General features: G+C 36.9%; 1 protein-coding gene across 4 annotated transcripts in view, besides 1 other annotated feature; it reads right to left on the minus strand.

The window, feature by feature from the left end:
• Nucleotides 1–16,059, minus strand: part of STX18 (syntaxin 18) — a 123,376-nt gene that overhangs the window by 91,140 nt on the left and 16,177 nt on the right. The window lies entirely within an intron of this gene.
• Nucleotides 11,033–12,216: an enhancer, noted in NCBI's record as "VISTA enhancer hs746". NCBI's record gives its function as "enhancer in: branchial arch[4/7]" and the evidence as "EXISTENCE:transgenic organism evidence [ECO:0001131][PMID:17130149]".

A 16,059-nucleotide genomic window follows, 5' to 3' on the forward strand; every position in this document is an offset into this window, starting at 1 on the left:
AATCACCACGCATCGTTTTATGAGCATTTTATAATGGGTGCCTACTATGTGTCAACTGTGTGCAAAGGAGAGAGACACAAAGAGAAACTCAGCTTCACAAAATACTCTGCTAGTTTAATTTTAGTTTAACCAAAGCAATGGAGGAAGGCAGAGGAAGAGAAACACAGATCATCCCCAGTCATAGTTTTTTAAAAAAATTAGTCAAAGAAAGTTAAGAAAAAAAGATTGTGTGTAAAATATAAGTAATCTTAAATCTGGGTCTTAATCTAGGTGATTAACTGCAGGTACCTGCTACATGTCTCAGATCCTCCTTGTCAAGTTATTCATTAACATTCTTTTCATCAATCTGTCCATCAAGAAATCCATGACATGCAATTATTAAAAAGTCAGGAAACAGAGATGCTGGAGAGGCTGTGGAGAAATAGGAACGTTTTTACACTGTTGGTGGGAGTGTAAATTAGTTCAACCATTGTGGAATACAGTGTGGAGATTCCTCAAGGATCTAGAACCAGAAATACCATTTGACCCAGCAATCCCATTACTAGGTGTATACCCAAAGGATTATAAATCATTCTACTATAAAGACACATGCACATGTATGTTTTTTGCAGCACTATTTACAATGGCAAAGACATGGAACGAACCCAAAGGCCCATCAATGATAGACTGGATAAAGCAAATGTGGCACATATACACCGTGGAATACTATGCAACCATAAAAAAGAATGAGATCACGTCCTTTGCAGGGACATGGATGAAGCTGGAAGCCATCATTCTCAGCAAACTAACACAGGAACAGAAAACCAAACACCACTTGTTCTCACTCATAAGTGGGAATTGAACAAGGAGAACACATGGACACAGGGAGGGGAACAACACACACTGGAGCCTGTTGTGGGGTGGAAGACAAGGGGGAGGGAGAGCATTAGGACAAACGCCTAATGCATGCAGGGCTTAAAACCTATATGACGGGTTGACAGGTACAGCAAACCACCATGGCACATGTATACCTATGTAACAAACCTGCACATTCTGCACATGTATCCTAGAACTTAAAGTAAAATTTAAAACATTTAAAAAAAGAAATCCATGCCATGGCTTGAATGTAGGTTGGAAGATGAATCAAAGGTACAATGCATTCTGACAGTTTCAAAGAGGAATGCAGCTTGTCCAGCCTACGCTAATGTGGACTCTCACAGTTCCTTGTGCCAGCAATGCTTTATCAAGGACTTCATATGACAGCTATGTTTTGTTCTATGAAACTGAACACTTGATTTTTATCATAATCATTCCTAAAAATAGTGATTTCATCTCTAATACATGAGTTGAATATTAATCGTAAAACAAATCTTAGGGAGGACAGCATAATTTTGATGCAATCCTAGTAGCAATTTCTGAATAGCCTTTGCTTCAATAGTTTGGAATATGTATTGTTTAGGTACCCAAGGCAGTCTAGAAGTAGCTATTTGAATCTATGTGGTAGGGGAATCAATAGTCCTTCTAAACCTGGGTGATGGCGTATTTGTATACTAGGGCAGCTATAAACTGAAAAATCTTAAATATGGGACTGAAAATACATACAATCACCAAACAACACTCATGATTAGTGTGTGTGTGTGTGTGTGTGTGTGTGTGTGTGTGTGTGTGTGTGTGTATGCCCCTAGGTTAAGGTCCTCTTAAGCATAAACTAATTCTAGCTAGCTTTCCAAAACAGAAGGAGAGGAGATTTGAAAAATACTAAGGTAATGTATGAAGGATGGGTTAAAGTTCAGGTTTTATCAACCTAAGCCCTATTGACATTTTGGGCTGGATAATACTTTGTCTGGGGGCGGAGGTGGGGGTGTTTGTGGGAGAGCTGTACATTGTAGAATGTTTAGCAGCATTCCTGGCCTCTTTCTGCTAGATGCCAGTAGTAGCCCCCTAGCTGTAATAACCAAAAATGTCTCCAGATATTGGCAAATATCCCCTAGAAGCAAAATTGCACGAGCCACTGGTTTAAATGATCAAAAGATGGGAACGGCAAGGATACAGCTAGCCTCTGCAACAACTAAACCAGATATTTAAAACTCCTCTAGAACTCTCTTAACTCCTACTTGTTTTGTCTGCATTTTAGCCTTAATTTTCTCATTGCAGCTCAGCAATGAAAACTGGCCACCAACAGCTCCCGAGCTTTGTTTGCTGAAATCCAGGCCTCTGGACTAAGAATAATTCTTTTTCCTAATTCCAATTAAAAAAAAAAATCTTAGGAAAGGATTCTGATTGGCCTGATTTGAGTCTGGTTGCTACCCCTGGTCCATGACCTAGAGAGTAGAAGATACTATGGAAACACAGCAGCTTGTACTGAAACCACTTGATTGAAGCCAGAGTGGGGATGAGTTCCCAGGAAGAAGGCAGGCACTATTGTTGACAGAAGGGTGGTTTCAGGACCAAGAATAGGTATGTGCCACAATCATCTACTGCTGATTAACAAGCACACCATAGAGCAAACAGCCAGGACATTACCAGTCCTGTATAATACTGAACTAGATTTGCTTTTCTGCATTTGAGGCACGTTTGTGAGTTAGGTACTCTGGGAAGCATGAGTTGGTAAGCAGGTAAGCAGAATACACAATATCTAAGCTTGAAGGCTTTTTCACCAACGTATCTTACAGTGACTTCCTGGATGACACATTTAAGTAACCCACAGATGAAAACTGGGAATATTGTTACTAAATATTGCTCAAAGTTAGACATGGCAAAAAGCTGGCAGTTGGTATGCTTTGTGGGCTATTAATAAAATATACTTTTAACATGCGACTCTGCCTCAGTCAACAGAAGACCATAATTGACCAACCATTGCTCAGTTTGTGGGCTGACAGAAAACCAAATGTTTGCCTTGAAACTCCAACTGGGTTCAAGAATAAAATCCAGGAATATAATAATAATATACATATCAAACGGACATAAGGGTATTCAATTTAGAATTTAAAGAAGGAAGCAGTCTAAGCTGAAAAATTTTAAGACTTCCCAGAGAATGAGAGGAGACAGACACAGGAAATCCTTCCCTGGTTGTCTCTTTAGGAAACCTCAGAAATTCGGTTCTATGTTAAGTAAAGAAGTACCTGTACTTTGAGAGTGGAGATTCTGATAGAGGGGGGGACCCTCGTCTGGCCTGGATCTCAAATCTCAGCTTTGCCTTAGGCAAGCCAGAGCTCATGGGGTTTCCCATTCATCTGGGATCTTCCAGTAGAAGTAGACTCAAGCGCCTGATTACAGCTTTATCCCAGAAGCAGCACCACTTTATCCAGCCAGGAGCCAATCATAACCAAAGGATAGAGAAACAGGTTTGAAGAAGGAAAGGAAAGTGTGGGGGATTTCAACCAACAGAGTCACAGACTGCTTCGTGGAAGTCATCTAATGGTCATGGCCCTCACTGCTCTGTTCTTGGATCTTATGGTTGCTTTTAGAGGCCACATTCCCCGGTGAGCAACATACTCAAATAGACACTACTGTTTTCAAAAGTAGATTATTTAAATGTGACACACTGAAAATCTCTAAAATCAGGTTAGTAAAAATCACACTGCTACATCTTAAACAGATACCCGACAAAACAGCATGGCCAATGAAATCTTTAATGCTGAGTAAAAACTACCCCAGCACTCAATCTTGACAGCAAAGCCAGAGGTCTGGGATATCTCCTTGCTACTGCAGTAATGAATTGCCAGTTGACTGTGATGAGACAATCATAAACTTCTATTTTTTTCTTAAAAAGACTGATGTTCCATCACTGCTTTTATAAATGATGTGATTTCTTCCCCTTTTAACCTGAGGGCAGGGGTGTGATAAAGACACTGACGTCCTTAGCGGGGGTAAGGACATGTAATTACGTTAAGAGTCAATACTGGAGAAAGAACTCGAGAGGGCAGCTTCCATTGCAGGAGAGAATCCAGCCTAAAGGAGACATGACATCAACCACATACTTCAAAATCCACATGGCCAGGACTTGTATATCATGGCTTCACTGTATCAAGCGGCACCTTGAAAGTAGTAAGTATTCAATACTGTTTACTGACTATTTCTGCAAGGCTTCTCCAAGAATCATGAAGAAAAGGATACACGTAGATATATGAATCAGAAAAATGCTTCTCAGTCTTCTCACTGCAGATGGAGAAAGCAGTTCCATAAAAATTGCCATAAGTAAAGCTATCAACTTGTTAAGCACAGCAACAGATAGTGCAGCTTCAATGGAAAATGGAGACTTCATGAATAAAATTCATTCTCTCACTGGTCTCATTAAAAACATTTAAAGTGAGAAATTTTAAAAAGTTCTATCTTTCAGTTATTTCGTTATGGCAAAAAAGAGAGTTATATGTTATTTAGATGTGATTTCTACTAACTTTTAAAAATTCTTCACTCCTACCTTTCAATACTAAGATTCCGAATGGATGATCCACTCTGTCCTCATTTGGTCAACAAGGAGCAAGTGCCTGTCACAAGCCAGGCACTGTGTTTTAAGCAGTAATACAATAGGATAGGATAACATCCATCTAGTCTTTGATCCGAAGGAGCTTACAATCCAGTGAAAGTGGCATAAACAGGTTAATCAGAGAATATAAAATCCAAACCACCAAAGGAGGTACCCATACATTAGGTAATGAAAGCAGGAACTAGGAGGGGCCTCTGGTCTGTGGGAAAAAAAAAAAGACTAGAGAATTCTTTCTTTGGATCAGATAAGGGGGTATATGAGAGAGGATCCAAAGGGTCTCTCAAGTTCCTAGTTAGGAAGACTAATCTTTTGCCTTCTCTATGAAGATCCTAAGAAGCATACAATGGAGGCTAATTATAACAATAGTTCCATAAACTATGGGGACAGGAAGGAGGGAAGGAAATCATATTATCCAAGTTTCACAAGTAAATGTCTCATGAAAACATTCAACATAAGGTACTTGTAATCCTCTTTAAGTTTCACTTTCTCCATATAATTCTCAGAAAGTACATTCATGCAACCAAATAAAACTGCTTCTCTCCCCAATGACAAAGTCCTTAAAAGTTCCAAAGGATAGTGAGACCTAAATGAATAAAACTTTAAAAAATAATAATATAATATACTAGGAATGGTTGTAAAATTTCTAGAAAAATTCATGGTCTAATATGCAATGATTACTTCTAATAAATACCTCAAAACATTTGTTTCCAGTGATAATTGTAATGTGAATAACTGTAAATACTAAATAATGGAAAAAAAGAACTTTGACTACCACATAAGCAGTTCTAAAAATTGTGGTCATCTTTTGTTTGCTTTGTGTTTTAAGAAAAACTTGAATAGCCAAGGTTCCTGGATAAAATTTAAATACTTTGAACTGGCTGTGGTGGTTCATGGTAATTAATTCTCACTTAAAGATTCATCAGATCATAAACTGACTTTATTAAGAGACACGATTTGAAATGGACTTTGAATACTATACACTGTATTTTATACTGGATACCAGTCTGATTAGTAAATGCAATAAAAATGTGTACCTAGAAAAAAACGATAAGACATCTGACAAAAGAGAGACACACGTGCTTTAGCAGTCTACATGTATTTTTGGAGACATTAAGTGTACAACCCAACTGGAAATTACCTATAGTTTTCTAAATTTAAGAGGAAAATAAATTATTTTTTCCTAGCACATAAAAAAGAGTTATAGTCAGCAGCAACATTTTAAAGGCTACTTAAAAAAATACTACTCACTGGTAAAATCCCCTCCCCAACCCCATGCAGTCTTTTCTGCAGTGCAAATTATTGATTTGCAGGCAAGAGTAAGTATTCCGAAAACAGCATCTGATTACAGCATAAGCTATAGCTGATACAAAAGCTTTTGTGATGAGAAAAGGCAGTACCTCAAATCTAAGAAGGTAAAACACCAAGTAGCAAAAATGAATCCTTTAAGAACTATCAAACCAAACAAAAAATAAAATTAGATATAAATTCAACTTTTAGACTGTGGTCAATTGAGGTCTAGACAAAACCCTATGTTTGTTCATTGCCTAGTCTCCAGTCTGCTCCAAGTTTGAAAAGGTAATTGAACACAGTCTATAATTACTGGATTAGACACAGATGGGCTCTGTACATTTCAGGGGGAAAAAAGCACTGTTTTGATTCATTTTATGATTGCCTGTAAGGTCAGACTTTTCAAAATGTACTTTCATCTGTTAAATGGTTTCTCAAATTCCCTGGGGTATATCTTCAATAACTGTGATGTTTTAAGCAATTTGGGCCTATCAGATCCAGTCTTTGAATATAACTAGCTGCCTATTTTCTAGTATTATAAATGTGCATGTAGGTTAATTGCTACATCTCGTACATATTTTCTGAAGTTGCAGTTTTGGAGGAAAAAATTGAAAAATTATGCCTCTTTTCCGACAGGAATTGGCCATATTGATGATTTTCATATAAGAAAAAAATCTTTAGCTTATATACAAAGTCCATGAAAAATATTTTCTAACTGACTCAAGTGAAAAACAGAAACAAGGAAACATCAACATTCTGCATTTAAGTTGTAAGTAAAGTAATCTTAGATACTTGCAACTGAATAATTTATAAAACAATACATTCTTGACTAACGTGCTATGCATTTTTATTTAATAACTATAAATAAATAGGAAATATTTTGTCTGTGCTAACATTAAAACTATTTTCCAATCTAAAAAAAAAGAGAAAAACTCCAAACATAACATTTTGTATCACTTGCAGTAACAATGATGTTGTTATATAACAACATATTATAAATTCATAGTGAAAAACAGTATCTAACTTGGAGAATTCAGTATTTGGTCCCTTCAGTGTAGTACCTATCTTATTTCCAAACATCCCATATTAAAACGATTTATGCAATAGCGCTATACACAAAATTTGTATGAACATTTGTGGCATACTCAGTAGCATCGGTTACAATGCCACAGAGTCTTCTTTGCTTAGTATGCTTTATCACAGAAAGTTGGTTCTCAGGCTTTAGATTTGGTCACGGGAGCTCCCGACTGTATCAAACAATCCTTTGGAAAACAGCTATAGAATTCCCAGGGCTGTTCTGAACCAGCGGTATTGGGGCTCGTCAGTACATTCTTCCCCTGATTCCCACCCACATCATGACATTAGGTGCTTCTGTTTTTTCAAAATCTCCTTTCCAATTATAGCTTCATTTTCTATTCCCAAAATTTACTTCAGTTAGCTACTGTGATACTAAATAGAAACACCCCAACATCAGAAAAATAAAAATAGTAAGACAGTGTAGAATAAAGAATAATCCCAAAAAGTTTGTATATTTTAGGAAGTTGGTTTCTTGTTGGTGTTGTGTTTTCACACAGAAGGAAAAGGGGAATTTACAGTCACATAATTAAAACCTAAGTTGACATTCTTCATAAAGTCACACATGTATGTAGAAAGCTTTATAATTAAAACAAAAAGATTTACAACCATGTTCAAGAAAATCTAGCAATTTTACTAACACTCTTTACAAAATGCATAAACGTGATTTATTTATAACCTCTTCCTGTCATAAAACCAAGGAGTTTCTAAACCACACAGATAATCTTGTGTTTTTAAAAACCACTAATTTCAAAAGAAGATAATATTTTACAGAGACAAATGTTCATATCACTACCTACATGAATATAGCAATCATCATTCCCTTTATAAGTGTTTTTTTTTTCTTTATTTTTTTTTTTTGAGATGGAGTCTCGCTCTGTTGCCCAGGCTGGAGTGTAGGTGTGGTCTTGGCTCACTGCAACCTCCACCTCCTGGGTTCAAGCGATTCTCCTGCCTCAGCCTCCTGAGGAGCTGGGATTACAGGCGCCTGCCACCACGCCTGGCTAATTTTTGTATTTTTAGTAGAGACGAGGTTTCACCATGTTGGCCAGGCTGGTCTCAAACTCCTGACCTTGTGATCCGCCTGCCTTGGCCTCCCAAAGTACTGGGATTACAGGCTTGAGCCACCACACCCGGCCTATATGTGTTCTTATAAAATGTTGCAAATATAATGATCTCGCATGTGCTAAGGAAGTGGCTTTAAAACTTAAATCTATTATAAATGTGTTAAATCTTTATGCAAAATGAACAACTGCCCCAATTTATATTTCAGATATATGTGGATTTTCTTATAACGGTTTGTTAAACGTAAGATATACCTGTATTAAGTGACTAAAAGCACAGAGAACCATGTAAATGTTGTAGAAAATTATTAACAATGTTCGTCCTTACTCTCCTGAGAGCTCATGCACAAAGCCAAGATAATATCAGAATAAGGCATTTGTATAGAAAACTATGACAGAACTTTGGCCTTGTTATTGTGCTGTTTAATTCTTTCTTCGAAAGGGTGTATACAAACTGAGTGCAACAAGCCAATCTAAATGGTAAAACTCCTAAGGGAGGAAAGTTTCTCTAAGTAAATCTATTTGTGAATTTAAATGTGAGTTTCACAGGACTGGTTACCAAAAATTGTGCCTTAATGTAGATTATAAACACATCACTACTTAAGAAAACATAAGGGTTTTTAAAAAAAAGATATACAAGCTATAAATTAATTCCTTCCTCTCTCTTTTCCTTTCTTCCTTAATTTCTTTAATTTCATTTCCAAAGTCACAGAAAACATATCTTAAAAGATTATAAAATAATGAATTTGATATTATCTGCATCAACAACACCCAGTTCTAGCCTAGCTCTAGCTCACAACGGTTTACTTATACACACGTGCACTTTATTTTATGACATTAACGCTCTAAATAAATTGGGAGCTTAAAATCATAAAACTGACTATAAGAAACAAAAGAAAGCCTGGAAAGATTTCTTCTTAGCCTTTCTCGAAAAAGGTCTTTCCCTTTTTAAACAATTTACATGATGTTTTATGGTTCTTTTAGAAGAGAATTGTAGTAAATGGCACTCCAAGTGGGTTGTGTGAACCCACAAACCACTCCTCATAAAAACTGCTATAATTTTCTAGGACAGAGACAATAAAATATCATACATAAGCCAATGCAAAATCACGGTGTGACCACAGTAACAAACACATTATTTTCTTGAAAATTAAGCATGATAAAGCTGACAAAAAGATGACAAAGAGAAAAATCTTGACAGTTTACTCAATATGCTTAACACACAAGCATTTACAGAGTTTTCCACCATTCCCTAAATGACTTGAAATACAGGTGCTAATCTAGGACTGAAGTTTTTATATGTAGTTCATCTATTTTTAATAAGAGATTAAGAAAATTATTAACTTCATCTGTAGCTCAAGGAACACTTTAAATAACCTAATCAATCTATCTAAAGCTACTAACATTTTTGTTTCTAGTCAAATGTTAAGCTTTATGGAAAGTCCTAATGAAATTTTCAGGGAATGCATTTCCCATTTCAGACCACTAGGGACCAATAGGTGCCTTCCATTCCCGAGTCAGTTACTGAACAGTTAATAGAATTAACATGCTGCGAAAATAAGCATGTATTACCTTCTCCCTAATAGAACCAAATCATTAGCTGTAAAACAGCTGAGAAGAACTGAACACTATATAGGCAAAAAAGGGAATGCTCAAATGAGATTTTAAAAGGACGACTAGTTCAAATGGTGTAGTTGTTAAATCATCATCTACTCTGGAAAACTTTCTACTTTCTGTTTCCCCATGGTAGAATTATTGAACAAGAAAATTGAAATACTAAAACCATGCTTTTCTAACTTAAAGGTGGATGAAACTGCAATACCACACTGATACAGAAAAATAAAGCCTGCCTAATACAATTCCCTGTAGCTGATCGCAGCAGTTTATTGCTAAGTCAGGCATGATACTGAAATTAGGATTGGTGAGCCAAGCCAAAATATCTATAAAAGAATATCATTTATCTTATGATGCAGTAATAACAGTAAAACAAAACAGCATTTTCTACTTAAACCTGTTCATAATTACAAATTCCAGTTACAACAAATGATTTAAAATATTTGCAACATTCCTTCACAGTAAAACATTGGAAGAGAATTGAAGTGAAATAAACATGAAGCCCAGAAACAAGCTAACTAGTACAAACCTTAACAGATACATTTTATTGCTTTTCAGACTCTTACATTAAAATGGTTGCTCATAACGAATTATGCTGAAATTAAATAGTATTTTTGCATATAGCTCAAAGATCCCAACTCTTTCCCAATAGGGTGCTGTTAAGGAGTATCTCAAATTCCAGGAGAATATGGCAGTGATTCGATTAAATCTGTTAAGACACTGTACACAGAAATTTGGTCTCCTTCCTTCCACACACACAAAATATAATAAGTGCAATTCTAAAACAGTGAGCTAGAGAACAAAAGTTGAAGACATGAAATGTGAACTCATCAAATCCTTTCACATAAAAATGCACTTTAAATATTTTTGCTTCTATATCAGACTTAAAGGAATAAGATACCTAAAAAGCTATACTATTAGATGTAAAGAACAAATAGCCACTTTTAAATAATGTGCTATTAAAAATGAATTCATTATTCTTGAAGTTAAAGTTTTGTATTATAAAATACATCGTTGTACTTGTTCAGACAGTCTAGCTGGCCTTTGTTTGTGTTTACTGAAAATGCCTTCCATATACTTAAGGCCCCAAACCAAAGCTTCCCAAATGGAATCTGCAGAGAAAAAAAAACACTGATTCCAAAAAGAAGACTGTGCAAACAATACATAGTTCCAAGATAAATAAATGTACTCAAAGCAACAAAACTTCCTCCAGGTTAATCAAAGACTCCTGCCTAGTGAAATATATCTTTCAGAAAACATAAGATGTCCACATGTTTAAGACTTACAATCAAAATGATCTTTAGTATCTAAAAAAATTCATCATCCCAAAAACAACATTGTACAATTTATCTAGTCTTCCAAAAAGACTTGAACAATCTTTGAAGATGAAAAACATTTTCACCACATCCTACAAAATCCCACCTGACTTCATTTACCAAAGACTACTCACCCATCTAACCCACCCCTCCAACCCACTCTACAGCTCTCACTAGACTCTGTTATTTGTCCAATAAAATGCAAAAGTCTGGCAAAATCCTCATAGGCAAAAAGAAAAAGTTACTGAATCTCTTTTGACTCCAAGGCCTGGTTTCCTTTAGGTCCCCTCACTGACATTTCTTTGGCCCCACAGCATGGGGTACAGGCCGATCTGCATGGCTGGCTATACAGACGTATTATGAAGCCTTTACAATTGACCACACAAACACAATACCACAATGTAGGTCAGCTTATGCACTCAAATGCCAAAGTGAAGCTTATAGGGAAGTAAACTACAGACATAAATCTGCAAGGGTAGAATTCCACCCAATGATCCTAAAATTATTTCAAGGAATCAATCTCCAAGTATGCATCATGAAATCAGAAGAGCCCAGTTAAGCTTTTAGAGCGGGGGAGGATAAAGAAGAAAGAAAGAAAATGAAAGACTTAAGAAGAGGCAGCAAAGGTTTCACCAATCATTATATCATTGAGAGGGCTCAAACTACAGATGAAGTTAGAATACAGATGATTGTAGAAAGGGTATTTAAAATTATTAACTGATCAAATATTTGTAGTTGTCATTAAAAAAAAAATACAACTTAGCAATTCAGTTCAGAAAGAAGAATATCCCCAGGAACATACACATCTGTTTAATATTACAAGCCAACTGTCAACATCCTAAGTGAAGTTTTAATTTAATATTTTTTCTTTCTTGATGTTTTACCTTTAATCAATGCCTCATGAGAGTATCAACTTTCTATAAGAAACTGTTAAATATAAAGAAATGTTATTGTAGCATGTTTATAAAATCATAGTTCGAGAACTTTTTATTTTTCCAAAGCCTGACCACAACTTAATTATCTGCAGGACATTCCAGGCTCACAATTGCAAGCTCCAGTTCCCAAGCAATTTTAAACAATATCTACTGTACAGGACAGAGGGTACACAAAAGACCGCAACATGGTTATATTTCCAAAAGTCAGCATTAGGCCCTTTAGACATGGTTTTTATTTTCATTAAACAATATTTGTTTCCTCACTAATCATTAAATGGTTTTCATCACTATTGCCTGCTTTCCTTTCACATGTCAGTTGTTAGCATCAGTGTTTGTGTTCATAATAAATATAAAAGTAATCCACCCCATCATTTAAAAATGAACACACACGACGTCTGGTTCAATGAGTGTTAAGAGACTTAGCAATATACTCACACCCTGAATACTGATCTATTTTAATCTAGACACTTAAAAAAACGTAATGGAGTAATAGACTATACAGCCCTCTCCTTTAAATCAGATTTAAGCTTCGTGCCTGCTTATGTTATTGTGGGCACACAGATCTAATCAGTGGTTCAAGACATTTACTTGGGAAAATGAAAGAAGAAGACAGTAAGTTCATATCCCTGACCATAATGGGGAGGAGTTGAGAATATTGCCAATTCCTTTAGATGCATGAGAAAACTAGCCTGATTAAAAGTAACACACTAGAAACTGACCGAAATGTGGAGGAGCAACTCACAGAGCACTCCAGAACTTTAGGAATAATTCTGAGAAAGTAAATTTTAAAAATAAATAAAAGCTGTATGCTATAAAGTATTAGGAACAATAAAAAATATGTGAAGTGTGGAAGAAACAAAGAAAAGTATAACAAAGTCAGAGGTAAAATTAATCATCAGTAGAAAAAAATAATCCAGCAAATAATCTGGAAAACCTTCAAGAAGTCAAGATACTTGCATTGTTGCATTGGAACTAGCAGAGTTTCCAGAAAATCAAATTATTTAAGTACAAATAAACTAATTTTGGATTTCAGATTAACTGGCCAGCAGCTATGTGAGTGCAGAGAGACAGAAATGTACAAACACATGTGTTTACTGGCGTATGTGTTTATCAAACATTCTATAGCACTTCTTATGTGCTAAGCACTTTCAAGGTGCTTTACTCAAATTAATTCTCCAAAATTAGGTACTACTTTATTCCCATTACATAGATGAGGAAATGAGGTTAAATATTTTATCCACAGATCAGTTGCAGGAGGTGGTAGAGCCCAGAGTCCATGCTCTTAACCATCATGGCACAAATCATTCCAGGTGACATTACCTCTAATCCAAGTAAAAACAAGCTTATTACTTGGAGGGATCCACAGGCCTACGTTCTCCATAGCTGCCTCCTCAGACTTCTTATTCTCTGCTGGCTTCTCAAATGTAGTCTTTTCCCAGGGACTACTCTGAGGCCCTCTTTTCTTCTGACTTGAAATTCCCCTTGGGTGATCCCACTCTTTCCTCAAGGCTTCAATCTCCATTTACATTCTGATGTCTTTTCCAGTCTAAATTCCTGGCTTAGAAATCTTTCCTCCAGTACATTTCTATATTTACAACTGCCTGGGAAACGTGTCCCTTGGGTGTTCAGCAGGCACCTCAAGTAACTACAAACCTGAACTCATCTTAACTACCTACCTATCACAATGAAAACCTCAAAGTCATCTATAACCACTGATTCACATCTCCTACATTGAACAAGTCCCAGCTCTTCTCAAATATATCGAGTCTACTCCCTAGCTCTATAGTAACGAGCTGAGTTCAGGTCCTTGCTGTATCTTGACTAGACTTGATTACTGCAACAGCTCAACTGGTCCTCCTCCTTGCTGCCAGTCCTTCTCACCTCTGCCGAATCCACCAACTGCCAGCAGAATGATCTTTCTCAAATACATACCTAACCACATTAGTCCCCTACTGAAAACTTTTTCTAGTGCACCATGGCCTTCGAGATAATGCCATTCCTCTCCCATTCTAGGGGAATCTCTTTTTACCCTTCAAGGCTTAACTCAAAACTCACCTCTCCTGTTATGCCCTCTCCCTTTAACCCCTCCCACTGAGTTCTTCACTTCCACCTGTGTCCACAGACACTTTGATAGCAGCACTTATTAGAACATGCTTTAGTTATGTGCCTCTAAGTCTATTTTTTTCCCTAGATTATGTGTTTCTCAAAGTCAGACATTGTCTCACTCACGTTTGTACACCTAATACCTAACCTAGTTGTATGCCTGGCATATAGTTGGTGCTTAACAGTAAGTGACTATGAGTAAGTGAATAAATAATTCATTCTCAGAGATACCTTCAGTTCAAAGTGGTATTTATAATGCCTAAAGCAGAGTGAATGGGCACAATTTTGAATGCAATGTACATCTCTTGTTGGCCACCCCCATGCATTGCTCCCCTCCTTCTGGGAACAGCTCCCCAAATTTCCTTTGGAAACAATTCGTCCCTGATTCTCAGCCAAATGTATTGGGTGGAAGTAACATACTGCATCAGATGCAGAGCTGGGTCCTAAATGGACCAAGCTAGGCAGTATATCCTTTTAGTGGCAACAGGAGTGGATTGAGGATAAGAATATCACTCAATTTGAGCCAGTAAGAGAAAGTGAAACCCAGTCAAGCAAAGAGCCTCTCTCTTCCTCCAGAGGGGGCATTATGAGAAAGTGAGGCCTGCAAGTGCTGCAGCTCAGTGGCTGCCACAAAGCAAGGGCGTTAGAGGCGCCTTAAAGGCGCCAACACTGTGTGTGCAAGGCAGAACAGAGGGAGTAAGAAAAACCAGGCCTGTGGTGACACTGTTTGGTTCACCGAGTCCAGCCATGCCAGAGGTTAAGTCATACCACTAGACTTTTCAGTGATATAAATCAATAAATTCCTTTGATCACTTAAGCTAATTTGTGTTGGATTCTCTGTAACTTATAACCTTAGTAAGACTTCTGATAAAGCAAGTTAGTGTTTATGGGAAGAAAATCAAGCCACACATTTGAAGAAATGTACAGAAAAAGGAGACAAACAGGGAGAGGGTGAGAGTGGACCGCAAATTAAATTTGATAGGATACGAAGAAAAGAAAAGAAAAGAAAAGAAGCTAACAAGGTACAACACAAAATAGAAGAATGAGATTCCAGATGTGGAAGGAAAGCTTTCCATTCCAGACAGCATCAGTCAGGCCCACATAGGGGTATCCTGTGGTACATTTATGAAAAGAATAAAGTTTTATAAAGAGCTAGAAAAAGAAATTTTAAAAGTAACCAATGTTTCTTTTTGAAAAGGCCTTTATGAGAAAAAAGAAAAGACTTTGGGATAATTTAATCTGGAGAAAGCAAATCCTAGAGGCAATTTAACTTGTTGAAGGGTTATTTATAAGGAGGTGACTAAACAGCTGTTCTCCAATTTCACAGGGAAAAGAATGAGAGGAAATTGATTTAAATTTCAGTATGAAGCTCAAGGCAGGCAAAGGAGAAGTGCTTGAGGGAGAACTGTTAATGATGAAAAAAACTAAATGGAAAACTGGATTTTTATGGCTTTTAAAAGATGGAAAATTACCTGTGTTGATTCATTTAGTTTGGGGGTAAAACTACTAAACAAATATTTGAGGTGTGCCTTCTGTTCATTTATTCAAATGCCATGTATGAATCCCTACTATGGGCCAGATGCTCTGCAAGGCACTAGGAATACAAAGACCAAGAAGATATGGTGTCTGTTCTGTCTAAAGGCTGTATTACTGGGTACAAGAGCCACTGTGCTAAATACAAAGAAGCATGAAAATAGAGTCCTGCTCTCTCCTTTTCCATCCCCTGTGCCCAATATAAGCCCACAAATAAACAATATCATTTGAGAGATAACACAATCGCAGCTGAAAGGTTAAGTGACAATGTTATTACTAGATAAAAACACAAAATAATAAGGCAAGGGATGTCACAAGCCATACATATTTCCATAGTAAGAATACAGGCAGCAAATGCTTTCAATTCAAGAGGAGACTAGTATAGGCTAGAATGTGCCTTTCAAGATCAATGGAATTTGAGAAAGTGAAGGAGAGCAAGCAGTCCAGGCAAGAGAAATAGCAGGAGCCAAGGAAGGAGGCAAGAAGCTGAGGGGACTGCTAACAGAGCAGCATGGTGAAAACTGGTGGGATGATGGGGGAAGTGTGGGGTTTAACACTGGAGGTGGGTAGGCTAGCTTTATAAAGACCAAATATCTGAGAATCTTTGCGTGGAGAATGAGCGGTACTGAGCGCTTCTGAGCCAAAGTAATGATGAAAGCAACATCTTC

Source organism: Homo sapiens, chromosome 4 (genome assembly GCF_000001405.40).
Source record: "Homo sapiens chromosome 4, GRCh38.p14 Primary Assembly".
In the NCBI taxonomy this organism is placed as follows: domain Eukaryota; kingdom Metazoa; phylum Chordata; class Mammalia; order Primates; family Hominidae; genus Homo; species Homo sapiens.